This window comes from Homo sapiens, chromosome 3 (assembly GCF_000001405.40).
Source record: "Homo sapiens chromosome 3, GRCh38.p14 Primary Assembly".
Lineage (NCBI taxonomy): Eukaryota > Metazoa > Chordata > Mammalia > Primates > Hominidae > Homo > Homo sapiens.
The window spans coordinates 158,906,845-158,922,647 of record NC_000003.12 but is presented as its reverse complement, the minus strand read 5'-3'; the positions used below and the strand labels follow the sequence as shown (position 1 = coordinate 158,922,647).

The window sequence follows — 15,803 nt, the reverse complement described above, 5'->3', positions numbered from 1 at the left end:
AAAAAACACCAGGAAGAAAGAAAAAAGAAACCACAGCTTGGTAGAAAAAATTTGAACCACATATCTGACAAGAATTCATAGCCAGGATACTTAAAATACTGTTATAAATTACAAATAAAAAGATAGAAATCTAATAAAATGAAGAGCAAAATAATTTTCAAAAGCACTACACAAAAGAACATCTGAATGGCAAGTTAATATAGTAAAATATGCTCAAGATCATCAATCATCAGGAAAATGCAACTGAAAACTACAATGAAATTTTATTATGTATTCACCAAAAAGGCTAAAATGAAAAAAAATCCAAATGTTGGCAAAGATGCAGAGCAACTGAAACTCTCATACACTTCTGGTCTAAGTGTACACTGGTGCAATCAGTTTGGAAAACAGAGTATCTGCTAATGCTAAATAAATACATACTCTATGGCCTAACAATTCTACTTCTAAGCAGGTAGCAAACACAAAGACATATAGAGGTGCATCCAAAGATATGCACAAAAACATTCACAAAGTATTATTCGTGATTGCAAAAAACTGGAAATAATTTAGGTGTCCACGAGCAATAGCATGGAAAAATATCTGTAGCATATTCATAGAATGGAATACTAGGCACCCAAGAGAATGAACAAACTACAGCTACACACTATAGTATGGATGAAACTCAAAGTTGAGCAAAAAAAAAGCCAGATAAAAAAGAGTATATATGTATCACATTAAAAAAACAAGCAAAACTTAACAGGGATTGAAGTCACAATAGAGACTAGTCAAAGGAGACAATGACTGGGGAGGGGACATATGGAGGCTTCTGGGTTGTTGGTGATGTTCTATTTCTTGATCTGAGTGGTAGTTACGTGGCTTTGCTCACTCTAAAAATACATTCACTTATTTGTGGATGTGTTCTGTATTATGTTAAATTTTGATTGAAAGTTTACCCCAAAAAAGAAAAAAAAATGACATGTAATTGAAATATTTCCCAAAAGAAAAGACTTAGGCTAGAATTGCTGATATTAGACCACTTATAAGCCCTCAGTAAGAATAGCTCTGGGCAGGTGTACAGGAATGATTAGTGTCCCCAAAAAGCCATACCCACCTGGAACCTCAGAATGAGGGTTTATATGGAAATAGGGTCTTAGCAGATGTAATCAGGTTAAAATGAGGTCATACTGGATTCGAGTGGGACTTAATCCAATGAATGGTGTCCCTATAAGAAGAAAATTTGGACAGAGATACAGAGAGGGTAAAAAAAAGCACCATGGAGAAACAGATACACAGGGAAAATGCCACATGATGACAAAAGCAGAGACTGGAATGATGTACAACAACCCTAGGAAACCAAGGATTGCTGGCAAACAATAGAAGCCAGAAGAGGCAAGGAAGGATTTTTCTGTAGAGACTTTGGAGAGAAGATGGCCCTAACGACACCTCGATTTCAGATTTCTAACCTCCAGAACCGAGATAATAAATTTCTACTGTTTTAAGCTACCTAGTTTGTGATACTTTGTTATAGCAGCCCTAGAAAACTAATACAGCAGATATAGAAGTCAAGAGTGCAAGAAGAAAACCCACTTTAAAAATAAGCATGTAAAAGCTTGAAAAGGGGGAGGGTGGAGAGATGGAGAGAGGAGAGACAGAAAGAAGATTGTTTGGAACCAGGAGGAAAGCTGGCCCCTCAATCTCACCCACTGGGATTGTGTTTGGTGCTTTAAATAGAATTTATTGATTTTATAATACTGTCAAGCCCTATTTCAAGGCCCAGATATGAACAAATAGACTTCTTTAGAGGAAACCACACGGAAAAAATAGAAAACAAATTTTTTAGAAAAGAGAAACCAAGTTTGGACTTTTTTCAAAGAGCTCAGTCTGGCACACCTGTAAATTAAAGATGAAAGTGTTTTGCTTACAAAATACCATGCTGCCATGAAGAGACAAATGTTTTTACATGTTAAAAGTAACTGCTGTGTTATTTAACTTAATAGAGAAAATACATGCAAAAACAGCACATCAGGTAACCCTAAGAAAGATGTCTAAGTGGTGAGCATGGGACAGCAACAGTGCAGTAATCTGGATGACTCAGTGAGTGTTCTGTGAGGGAGCAGGAGGGAAAGGGAGTGTCACAAAAGCACTCCCCAGAAATCTCCAATCCTGAAACAGGTCATAATGCTAAAATGATAAATCTGATTGGACCTCATTATCATCTGTTGTACCTACTGAAAGGGGTAAAGGGGAAGGTTGCAAGAAGGTGAAGGAGATGTGGAACCTTGTTTCTTCTACTGGTTGCTTACCTTCACACCAGTTAAATTTTTCTACAAATTAACAGCAACCTTAATGTTCTAAAATAGCAATGGCAATCAAAGCTCATATTCCCTGAGGTTTGGATTGCCACCACCAGATCATGCAGTTTTTGTTATAGTCAAAATTTATGCATAAAGGTTATTTTTTAATGGGGGTGATGACAAGTTTTGTAACTCACTCTTTTCTGTTAAAAGGGTTTTTCAACAATCAGTGAATCCAAGGAGGATAACTTAGAGAAGCAGTACACAATCTCAGAGATTTAAACACCTCTTACTTAGAAATTATGATAGCCTGTCCAAGACCTGAGTTATGTCTATCCTAGTTTTGAAAAATGTGTGTTTCCAGCATATCCTCAGGGTAAATAAGAGTACGAAGATAATGCTAACCTAACTACAGAAATCATTTTTAAGAACTCTCAGACATTTTGAAAGCATGTATTTATGTGATTTGCATATGTTAATCATAAAGCATTCTGGTTATTCGAAGAGGTATTCTAAGAGCCTCAACTATGCAACACTGTTAATTTGTTTATAATTAGACATACTTTTAAATAGTAAGTCTTTTTTAAAAATAAAAATCTATACCTAAGACTTTTCACTAACTCAAAACTCTTCTTCATATCCATTATTCATTGATAACATCGTACCCTGAACATGTGTAGCCTTCTTAAAGTGAATTCAATGTGTAGAAACTTGCACTTACAATGCAGATTACTTTGAGGGCATAATTGTTTATTTTGCCAATGGTATCTTCATTTTAGAGAAAGATTCACTACCAAAAAAGTTATAATAAGCTTTCATAATATGCTTAAAATTCAATTTACATACAACTTTGCAGGACTATGAGTAAAATGAGACGTAAATCCAATTCCTCACTCTTCCAACTGATCTTTACATGGCCATTGCCTCACTTCACTCAGGACTTTCATAAATGCCCTCAATCAATGAGAACTGCCCTGATGATCCTGTATAAAATAATATCTCTGCCCATAATTCTCTACCTCACCTTACTCTGCTTTATCATTTCCAGAGTATTTATCACCACCTGACATATTCCACATTTATTTATCTTTGTTGTTAGTACTTAATTTCTGCCTTCCCTCATTAGAATGTGACCACCTCGAGGGTGGAGTCTTTGCTGAGCCAACACCAAGAACAGTACCTGGCAAATAGAAAACAGGCAATAAATAAGCCTTAAATGAATAAATGCCATAAATGAAATAATAAAGTCTTACAAGCTATGATGAAAAGTTGAACATTTTCTTAGATGTACCGTACTGGGTTAGGAAATTATCCCACTTGGAGTATTAATAACATAGCAATATGGTTTCCTATAATTATTTTCCATTGGGTAAAAGGTTTCAGGGCAGATCTTTTATGAGCTGGCCAGTAACCTTCCCCATTTTAAGTTAATAGGGATAATTAACTTAGTGCAGATTTTTTTAAAAGCAATAAAATTATTAAAAATTAAAACCACTTAATGGTGGCAGTAGTTAAGAATCTGGGGGTATGGAATAAGTCAAATCTCTCCAATGACAGAATAGTTCTTTGATTCAGGAGCAGCCCATTCTGACTAAAGAATGAGATTTTGCAGTGTTTCCCTTATGAAAGTTCTGACTTCTAGCCGTCAAACATGAGGTGATGAAGCACTTGTCCTTATTACGCATTTTGTTTGGGTAATGGATGGCTTCTTTATTTTCCTGAAGGTAGTACTTTGTTTATGAGTCACCTATGAAATCTGTTTTCTCACTTGGGTGGCCTTTCATTGTGCCCTACTGTGGTAACACCTATTCTTCATCCTTGTCATTCCTAGAGTAAGGGAGCATTTTAGAAAATAAATCTATAGTATACTTTGCAGCACAAATGATATGCACCCCATAATTTTTCAATATGTTCATACTATTGCGTTAGGTGGTTTGTGTCATGCTTCAAAGAGTTGTTCCTGACTTCAGACACCTCCTCGTATCAGTGATTTTTTTCCTACACACACTTAGCCACAGGGCAGAGGGAAGAAACAGGCATGGAGTGGCTCCCTTCTGCTAGAGAAGCACTCTGAACCTGAAAAAATGGCCTCTGAGTTTCAACAGATGAACCCCACAGGACTAATATCTTATTTCTGTCTCCATGGGGAAACCTTGAAGCAACACACAGAATCCACAGGAAAAATGTGTCACTCATTAATGGACTAAACCGCAGGAAGCTGATCACACCAGGGCCTTCCAGTGGTGTCCTGTAAGATTCTGAATGTAACCCAGGCTGCCACCTACTGGAGCAGTCGGCTCATGCCAAGATATGTTGCCAGCAGCAAAGAACCCCCAAATCTCAGTGGCTTGCAACAATATGGTCTATTTCTTACTAGCGTGAGATATTCCAGAGTCAACTTCAGCTCCAGTTCTTCATTCTCAGTCAAGAAAGTAGATGCAGCTCCTCTTTGGGACATGTCAGTCACATGGCAGAAGTAAAAGAGTGATGGTAGAATCAAACAATGGCTGTTAAAGCTTTTGCTCAGGAGTGTCATGTGTCATAGCCACTCATTTTAACAATCAAAGCAAGTGACATGGCCAAGCTCAACATCAGTGGGGTGGGACTCTAATCTTTCTCCAGGAAAGTGCCAATGTGGAGGCACAGTGAATACTTTAGAACAATAATTCAATCCACCACCCCTAAGACCTAAAACCCTAAATCATTTAAGACATGATTGTACAACCAGTGTAGGAGTGTTCACATGCCCCTTTGAGAACTTGAGAAAAATTACAGAACCTATCCCTAGAAAAATGTACACATATACAAACCTATCTGTGAAAAAAACACATACATACAAGTACCTCCAAACATTTCAATATAATTTCAAGAGTCAGAAACCCCTGAGTTCCATACATGAACTCCAAACCCAGAACAATAATTCTCATTCTAAAGAGAAAATTTCCTCACCAATAATCAAACTGCTATTCATTAACATGAGGTCATTCCTCATTCCACCTGAAATTATACAGGAAAGACATCATTCAGAAAGAACACCTAGGTACTCTGCACACAGCCTGCTATGCTTGCCCTGAGGAGCTGGGGCCCTAGGTCACTGTCCTGTACACCACCTGGCAAAGTCCATTGAAAGAGGTTTACATTACCTTTAAAATGTATTTTCTTCTTGTTTAAATTGTGCACTATTTTGTCACAGCACTTTTTTCTTTCTACTGTTTTATAAATCATAATACTGAAACTTAGTATTAAGTAAGTCATATTGTTTTATCCTAAGGCAACAGAATATTTGTAGTTTTACACACACTGATGCATGCATGTATACACACACACACACACACACACACTAGTACCTGTGTATCCGTGGCTCTCTCATCTCCATGAGATGAAGAATCATACACAACTGTTTTTTGTTTTTTTCCCCAAACTCTAGCAACATCCTCAAATGTGGCCATAAGAAGATCAGGTAAGGGAGTTCAGGACAAGGCCATTCATGACCCTACCCAGAAAGCAACTCTAGCAATGGAGCCTCATATGGGGTCAGCACAGCCTGCCATAGATGCAACTGATGCAAGGCAGGTGAGCCCCAAAATTAGAGATTAGCCTGAGAGAGTTCTCAGCTTCACCCAGGAAGGAATTCAAGGGCTACCCAACAGGCAGTGTGCCCAGAGCAACCCTGTTCCACAAGGAGCAGAACCTCTGATGCTGCTGTACACTGCCAGTTCAATAAAAGTTGCTGTATAACACTACTGGCTTGCCTTTGAATTCTTTCCTGGGAAAATACAAGAACCCTCCTAGGCTAAGCCCCAGTTTTGAGGCTCAGCTGCCCTCCATCATTCGGTGATTAACAAAGGGTTGAAGACAGTGAGCCATAGAATGCGAGAGATGAGGAGATGGCAGTCAGCAAAGACAGCAAGAATACAGCAAGAGACCGTGAGAGACAGCAAGAGACCGATCAGTGAGACAACAAGCAGAGATGGCAAGAGACAGCAAAGCAGTCTGTGATAGAGGCTGCAAGAGCTATAACACAAAGGCTGTAACAATAAATAGCTAATACTATAGAGCTGTACTAATAGCCAAAGGCTCTTTTCAGAGCCATCACTTTCCCTGGCAGGCAACAGAGCTGAGTGGATGGGCAAGTGACCATAGTGCTGCTGCCTCATGTGAGACTCGCTGCTCTAACCAACAGCTCAATAGGTTACCAGCATTTGCACCAGACATCCTGTGTGACAGCCAAGCCCACCCAAGGTGAGGAAATCTGGAGAGACATTCAACTGGGTCCCATGTGGAAGATCAGTCAGTGCCATTTTGGTTCCTGCGGATGGGTGAGTATCCTCTCTCCCCCATGGTCCCCATAATATCGGGAGAGCTAGGAAACAAAATAAAAGCCTTTGGCTAATTGGTCAGTCGAAAGTCCTGCACAGTTTGGGTGCCCTGAAGCACGTCCCCATCATCCCTCTCCCAGTTCTCCTCTGACTCCATTTTATTGTTCCACCAGTCATGCTATTTTAGTTCTACGATGTATGTTTTGTTTGCAGTCTTTTGTTTGCTTTGGACTTTGTGTTTGGGCAGTTGTTAAAGGCAGGGCACTTGGTTGTGAGAGATCCCCTACTGTGTTGACCCTGAGATGCCAGAGTCATATTGTTCAGTGACCCCAGCTTCGTTTTGGGTTCACTGTTGGCCAACCCCACCCTGGGTGCCCCAGGGGTCTTCACATTTGGAGTAGGGGGACCCTCATTCGTTGAAACTTGGGCACTCTGGGTTTTCAGCGTTATTTTAGCCAGCACCTAGATGCTCTGAGGTATTTAGCACTGACATTTCCTCTAAGATTGTGGTCCCCCTAGAGGAATATTGCTCTTCCCTTTTTCTACCCTGAAGTTAGAAGTTATTATTTTCCTAATAATAATCCCGTTGCAAGCCCTTTCTTGTGGCTGACTTAATACTGCCTTGTTCAAGCCTCTCTTGGTCAAAGGAACCGGGCGTTTCCAGGCCCCTGGCCTGATAGACAGCCACCTACAGTGGTAGATGAATGACCACCTAAACATTTTTTTAGTGTCTCCGCTGCTGGGTAAGTTCTCCCACAAGTCAATGCTTCCAAGGTTTCCCCTTAGGCGATGCTGTTTACCCACCTTCCTCCCTTCCTCCCTTCCACAGTCGCCATTTGTTTAGCCCCTCTCTGCATAACCCTCTCTTTCTGTGGAATTTAGGCTCAACCTCCAACTGCTCATTTGTAGTGCACAATCCACTTTCATAGCACCTTATTATCTGTATTTTGTAGGAAGTGGGAAATTAAAAGGGAGAAGTAACTAAGCATTTGCTAAACTTAGGCTAACCGAAACCCCGTGTAGAAATCTTTACTAGACATGGGGACAACAGCAAGCATCCCGAGGGACTCACCACTAGGCTTTTAGACATTTGGAACAAATTTAAGTTAGACAAATTGAAAAAGAAAAAAACTCATTTACTATTGCAGTAATGTTTGGGTTCACTACAAATTGGCAAGCCAACAGATTTTGCCTAGGCATGGTTTTTTACATTACAATAATATTGTACAATTATATTTGCTTTGTAAAAAGCAAGCAAAATGGGAGGAAGTTTCTTATGTGCAGGCTTTTATGGCCTGCCACCAGGATCCTAACCTAAGGGCTAACTGTAGAGTGTGTCTGGCTCATGATACTCCCAGGCACCCAGAAGCTGCACCACGTATTCTAGATGGCCCCCTCCTAACTGCTCCCCCTAGGAGGCCTGTGCCCCCGACCTTCAGAGACTCTTTAATCCGTTAGTCTAAGGGAGGGGCCTCACCAGTTCTCTAGTGCAGGATTCCACCCCAAGGCCATCTTGGCACTCTAGCCCTCTCAGACCAAGATAGTTAAAAGCCATTTTGGGAATGGCCAGATTTTGCCAGATTTGGATTCCCAACTTTGGGCTTATAGCAAAACCACTCTATGAAGCTCTGAAAGGAAGTGATCATGAGCTTTTGAATTTGGATAGAACCTGCCAACAATCATCCTTAATCCTAAAAGAAAAACTAGGAACAGTTCCTGCTTTGGGATTCCCTAATTTAGAAAAACTTTTCATCTTTTCTGTGGCTGATAAACAAGGGATGGCTTGGGGTGTCCTAACCCAAAGGGTCAGGACTAGCCCTAGAACAGTGGCTTACTTTTCTAAACAGCTAGACAAGGTGGCAGCTGGGTGGCCAGGATGCTTGCAAACTGCGGTCACCACTGCTCTATTGGTAGAAGAAGCCAGGAAGTTTACCTTGGGACAACAATTACATGTCATCACCCTTCACCAAGTACAGGAGGTTCTAGATGCAAAAGGACACTAATGGCAGTGACAGGAGGTTACTTACTTAAATATCAGATCCTTCTGTTTCATACCCCAGATATTACTCTTAAAGTGTGTCAAGTTTTAATCTCTGCTACCCTGTTTCTGGACTTCACATCCCAGAAAACAGATCCCCAACTTACTCATTGCTGTGTGGAAACCATTGAACAGACCTACAAGAGCAGGCCTGTCCTCAAAGATGAGCCCCTGACTAATCTCCATGTTGAATGGTTTACAGATGGGAATAGCTTTGTGCATGATGGAGTAAGAAACACAGGTTATGTGGTAGTTATCCAAAAGAGGTCATTGAGGCAAAAGCTTTGCCACCCTAAACTCCCGCTCAAAAAGCAGAACGGCCTGCTTTAATTAGGGACCTCCAATTGGGAAAAGACTTAAGAGTCAATGTATTTACTGACTCCAAATAGGGGTTCCTGGTACCCCATGCTCATGCTGCTATATGGAAAGAAAGGGGACTCCTAACAGCTCAGGGATCCCCCAGACAATATGTAAGGATGGCCCCAAAGGGAACTCTAAAACTTAGTCCATTTGAGATGACTTAGGGAAGGCCCTTTTTAAATTCAGATCTCCTGCTTGATGAGGGGACACATAGAAAGCTCACCCATATTATCGACTTAGGCCAGGTTCAAAAGGCCCTCCAAGCCTATGGAAATAAAATATCGCCCCCTCCCACCAGAGAAATATTGAATCCCCCATTCAACCAGGAGACTTAGTCCTGCTAAAAACTTGGAAAGAAGGATCCCCTGAAGATCAATACAACCAAAATGGAGGGGCCACTATCCGGTGTTGTTGAGTACCCCCACAGCTGATAGACTTCAGGGAATAACTACTGGGCACACCTGCCCAGGATTAAAGCGGTTTTTTATGAATCACAGGCACAAGAGGACACTATGGTCTACATCTGTGAGCCTTTGGAGGCTCTCTGCTACCTACTTAAAAGAATCAACACTCAGCTACAAGTGGTAATGTGATGTTGTGGGTGGGAATACGAGCTTAATTTTTCTCTTCTAGCTGATTATAATACTTCTTTTCTGTTACTTTAGCCAACCTCCTAGGAAACATTTTTGTCCTTGTTGGGTGTAGAGGCCACTCTAAGGTCCAAACCGGACACCACGCTGTCACTGTTAATCCCATTTGCTCTCCCTGTTACCCTGATTCAGCATGGGTGGGAACGTAACTCCATAGTAAATATTTCAACAACTATAACATCAGGGAATCATCTTTGTGGTTGCTGGATTTGTCATCAACATTCTCACGACAGAGTTCTACCTTCTGACTTATCCAGAAAATCTCACGACCATCTCCCCAGACCTCTTAACTAACCATAGGGATCCCCAAATACCCAGACTCCTACTTGTTAAGTGGAACGCTCCCCTACTTAACAAATTCCACCTGAGTCTGCCCACCACTGTTACCTGGACCTGGGAAGTTGGATATCTAAAAAGTAAAAGTTTCCCTGCTATGCTCTGATCCAACTCTAGTTGCCAAGCTCCCAAGGCCACAGCGAGGTAAAAGGGATTCCATTTTTAAGCAAGGAGACCATATGTGATGCCTTCTCCTAGATCACGCAAGAGAAAAACAACTGCCTTGTCTGTGAAGGTGGGACTACTGCCCCCTTCTGGAAAACAAAGATTGTCTGACCATCTCCATGGGATCGGGGGGAAAATATCTCTATAGACCCAACTTGACAGGAAAGAATAAACATCACACCCCAGAGGGCCTCTGTTTGTGCCCCAATTGGGCTCATTTTTGTTTGTGGCCATGAATGGGAAGAAGTCACACCTCATAACTCCTGACTCCCCAGGGAGTCACCTCTTCTTTAGGAACAGCTTTCCCTTGTATGTCAAAAAACTTGGAATAGAGGTGAATTACATTGGTTACCCTAGCCCCTCCAGGGGTCACTGTCTATAACCCCTTAAGACACAGGAATACCAGAAGTAAACAAGCAATAGGGTTAATTCTGGCAGGAATCAGGGCAGCGAAAGGACTAGCAGCACCCTGGGGCAACCTTGCCTACCATGAGTTAACCCTAAAGAATTTAACTCAAACCCTAGAATCCTTAGCCACCAACACTGGTGTCAGGTTTGAACCCCAGCTGAGGTCCGAGAGGAGTGGGTGAACAAGGGGGCAGGGAGCTGGAAGAACACTCGCGACAGCAGGTAGATGAGACATGGCTTTATTCAGCTCTTTCACGGTGTCAGTGCTGCATTTATACACCTCACAAACAATAGTGGCTGAGAGCCAGGTGATGAGTCTGTTATGTTGACATAGCTATGATTATACAAGACACAGAATTGTGCACCTGTGCTCCAATCCCACCAAGTCACACAGGATATTTACCTCAGCCTATGCCTGCCTGGCTGCAGCGCATCCATGTTCCTTAAAACAGGCCAGGAATTAAAGGGAATTTAAAAGTCCCCGGACTCTTTAGCAAATGTAGTCCTTGACAAGAGACTAGCTTTGGATAATTTACTAGCTGAATAAGGTGGAGTCTGTGCAGTTATTAATAAAACCTGCTGCTCATATATTAACAACTCTGGACAAGTTGAAATTAACACTCAAAGATTTATGAGCAATCTACCTGGTTATGTAGATACAGCAAGGGCACTGACCGCAACTAAAACTGGTTGACTATCAAAAGTGCCTTTCCAAGTCTTACTTGGGTTTTACCTCTCCTAGGACCTTTGATAGCAATCTTCTTGTTACTAATTTTTGACCCTAGTTTGTTTAACGTCTTATTAAAGTTTTGTATCTTCTGGATTACAGCAGTTCCAGGTAAAGACAATGCTGGCACAAGGCTTCCAACCCATCCCACCTGCTGACCCAAAGAATAAAACTGTCCTGCCTCTGGGCCCCTTAGGTCAGGTACCCGGAGATATTTACTCCTCTGGTGCTAGGCAGTGCCCATGCCCATAAACTCGGCAGGAAGTAATCAGAAGACAGACCTCTGCCCTTTTGCAGCCCCTTTAAGATTAAGGAGGAGTATCTCATCTAAGAGGAGAATGAGGTAAGAGGCAGAATTCAACTCCAGAGGTAGGGTACAGACACCAGAACAAATTGCGGACTAGCTACAATAGGGCCTTGTGGAAGCAGCTTTCCATAAGACATGCCCACCAGTGTGCCATGTCAATTTACCATTGCTATGGCAACACTCAGGAGCTATCCCCGCTTTCCATGGCAATAACCTGATGACCCAGAAGTTACTACGCTTTTCCCAGAAATTTCTGCAATAAACTAGCTGCTAATCTCATACAATCAAAAGTAGGTATAAATTTACTGCCTATGGGGTATTCTCTGCCTATGCTCTGCAGGAAAAGCACAGCAGTGCCACACTGCTGGAGCTGTAACATTGCCACTTCAATTAAGCTGTTTTCTTCTACCCTACCACTGGCTTGCTTTTGAATTCTTTCTCTGGGGAAGCCAAGAACCCTGGCAGGCTAGGTCCCACTTTGGGGCCCACCTGTCCTGCATCACAATGGTATTGCACCAAATGTCAAATGAGATAGAATCAGCCACCTACTAATGCAATAAAAGCCTCGCAGAATTGTTGGCGGGCTCCTTGTGAGAGCCATTTTTGTTCATGCTGTAGTTTGAGCTCCCTTGTTTCTCAAACATTTAAAAGTGGATTTGTTTCTTTTCAGTTACAATTTTGAGCCAGAAATCCAAATGAAATTAACGTGTTTTAAGAAAGTGTATGAGACCAAGGAAAGTGCTGATCAGAGTTACATGGCAACGAGCACCTTAAGTCGGACGAAGTTTTGACTTTTTGACCCACACTTCTCTCTGTGGGAGATGAAACAAACATCACTAATTTAAAAAATAAAAACGTCCTGAACACTTCATGACTTCACATTTCAACAAGCAGCAGCCCAAATTGAAAGTTCAGCTCCTGGATGTAGAGGGAGAATCCCAGTGAGTCACAGGCCCATATTTTGTCTGACTGGGCTCCACTCAACACACAGGCAGTCTCAGCCTCTGTGTGCCAAAAGACCCACAGCTTGGGCCTGGAGGGCTAAAGGGGAAAAAGTGCTGTCAGCGGAGGAGTCTCCTCCCATGTTCTCATCTAAATAGGCTCAACTTCACACACACACATACATACACACACACACACACACACACCCCTTGTGCTATAAAATCTCATTAAGAAAGCAAAATAACTTCACTGGGAAAAGTTTCCACGATCCAGAAAGGCTTTCTGTTGAGTTCTAAAATTCCATTTAAACTTTACATATAACTGCATGCATTTCTTTAACCAAACTCAGCACATAAACATTCTGATTAGGGGATGAGAATTTGTTTTACAAAAGCCTTCACCAAAAACTCCTTTAAATAGCAACTATCTCTGATGGCACAAAAAGATGATTTATACACATTTTGGTACACAGTTAATGTATTAGGAAAGTACACCACCCACCCAATATTTAGTTTAATATTGTTTAAGATTTTACTAATACCTAGTTATAAAAACAAAACCAAAAAAACCTCCAAATACAATGAATACTCACATTCTATAATCTGCAAAGTTTAAGATATTCTATATCTTAACTTCTATGAACATTCTATAATCTGCATGTTTAAGATATTAATAAAAGTTGTATTTTTGCAAACTACACAGAAGTATAAATGCCATTATTTTCTCAGAATATGGATTAACTATTATTAATTTCATTTTAATGGACTTAAGTATCAAAACCAAACAGCACATTGCAATTTTTGTTTAATTGTGGTTGTGAAATAATTAAGAGTGAAAACACATGTAACATTTTTCCCATATGGTTCCACTCTAAATCCCATTTCGGCCATTTCCACTCCCCCATATTTCTCAATGCCCTAGAAATAGTTCATACCAGTTACGAATGCCCCATTGGCCCCAACCACGATGCCATCCCTACTAGCTCTAACCCTGCAGAGATCTAGGAATGGAGAACTAGGGAATAGGCATAAGGCACCTTTCAAGCTTTTATAGACCAATGAGAAGATGAGATTCCAGATAATGGGCCATTTTAATGGTGTAATTCCTCAGATTCAAACATTCCCCATTTCAGACACATCATGATTAGAAAATCCAAATAAAGGAAAATCATTTTACATAATTTATGACTATTCCCTAATATTTCAAAATGTCACATAAACCTCCCTAATATTTTATTACTTACGGTAAGACATGCTACATGCTGATATCAGCTGAAAATTAGGATAAAATGTCAGGAGTCAGAGGGATAAGACTTACCAGGGAAGGAATATAGCCTGGAAATCTTGATTAGCAATCACTTTTCACCTTGTAATGAGTTTCTAGACCAGCAGGGGTGAAATTGCATGCCAAAAATCTCAATAAATTATTTTCCATTTGAACACAGACTATCCATATCATTACCTAGTTCCAGGTTTAGAAGATTAAACTTATCAAATGCATTACTGAACAAAAGCTTGCCCTCATTTCCTAATGCAGTTGACTGCTTTGATGATTGATTGTGGATGAAGTCTTCCAGTAATATGGAACAACAATCAAAACCGTATATCACATCAGGCATGCAGTGCTGTTATTATGGTGTCAGTCAGTAAACAGTTTTTTAAAAGACTCTACTAGTAACACTAATTCAAGAGCTGTGCTGGTCTGTAGAATAATTGCTCCACAGAGAAATTCATGGCAAGGTACCACAATTGAAATATCCCTTCAATTAATACCATCTGGTACTGGAGTAAGCTATGTCTTCTGAGTATTTTTTAACTGGCTAACTTTTTTATAAAAATGGCTTCAAACAGCCTTGAAAGCAGATTTTAAAGAAATCATTTCAATATTTACTCCTACATTTACTAAAATCGCCATCCTCCTCAATCTATATCTTTCAGTAGCATCACAATAAGAGAATACAAGTATGTTCAACAATACCCAAGAGACACCAAGTTAAAAAAAAATCTGACCACAGGAAAACTGGAAAGGCAGAGAAGTGTAGTTTTCTTAGGATCTCTGCTCTAGATTCTTGATAAACCTGAGAAAAAAATGTGAATTTGTATTTATATCTGGTTTAATAAAAAGTGTTTCCTGGGATGTTTTCTGAGTCAACAATGCCATGCTTATCTATGTACAAATAGTCATTAAATTTCAACCAGTCATTCAAGATTAATTCAACAAGCCCTGAGTTAGAACATGTGCTAAGCTCTGAGTCCAGCATAGGAAATATAAGAACACAGTATTTATCCTTGCCCTAAGCCCAGAGTAGGGGGTAAGATGCTTAAATACTAATTATTTAGAAGAAATAAAGAGTAGGATAAGAGAAATGATAGAGATAGGCACTGAGTATCTTGAATCTCTCAAGAAGGCTACCTAAATAGAATGGGGAGCCCTCAGGGGAGACTTTCCCCAGGGATGATGCCTGAGCTGTATTACAGGAGAGTAATCATCACTTCATGAAAGATAAAGGGAGGATGGACTGAGGGCACAGACTGAACAAAGAGGTCAGATGAGAACTACAGCTGTTTTGCATTGTGGAATGTGAAAGAAGAACCAGGCAAGGAATAGCAAGAAATGGGCAGAGAAGCAGGCAGAGCAGATAAGAGGGTATTGTAATGCAACCCAAAAAAGGTTGGCTTTATCCCACAAGCAACACGAAGCAATAGGAAAGAAGTGGCGTAGTCAGATTTTTAAGCGATCCCTTTGTTAACTGTTTGAAAAATGGGTCTAACCAGAATCAAAGTGTCCAATTAAAAGTAGTCCAGATAAGAATGGCTGAAGTCCTGAATAACGCAGAGGAGAGAAGAAATTAAAGACATGGGAGGCAAAATTTCCAGAAGCTGGTACTTCATTGAATGTAAGGGTAAAAGAAAGAACAGGCAGTAAGAACCCGTTTGGTGTCCTTTCTAGGCAACTGAGTGAAAAGTGATGCTGTTGAATTAGATGCAGAATAGAGGAAGAAGAAGAGGGGGCAATATAGAATATAGATGCTGAGCCCAGTCCTCATCTGTGTTTGAAGGCCTTTGGGACCACCATCAGTTGGCTGGATTTTCAAATCTAGGGTTCAGGGTAAAGTCTACTGGGATATAATGATAGATACGACAGTTGGTACCCAACAGGTGCATGATGTCATCCACATCATATCATGTGTGGATATCATGTGAAGCAATCAAAACAAGGCCTGAAGCCAGAATCCTGGGGACTGCTTGATGCTTAAGCAGTGGGAAGAGGAGCTCACC

The 15,803-nt window shown here is 40.7% G+C and overlaps 1 annotated feature.

The window, feature by feature from the left end:
• Positions 4,524–4,573: a silencer, noted in NCBI's record as "silent region_14849". NCBI's record gives its function as "represses an Ori minimal core promoter by ATAC-STARR-seq in GM12878 lymphoblastoid cells {active_cell/tissue: GM12878}" and the evidence as "EXISTENCE:reporter gene assay evidence [ECO:0000049][PMID:35858748]".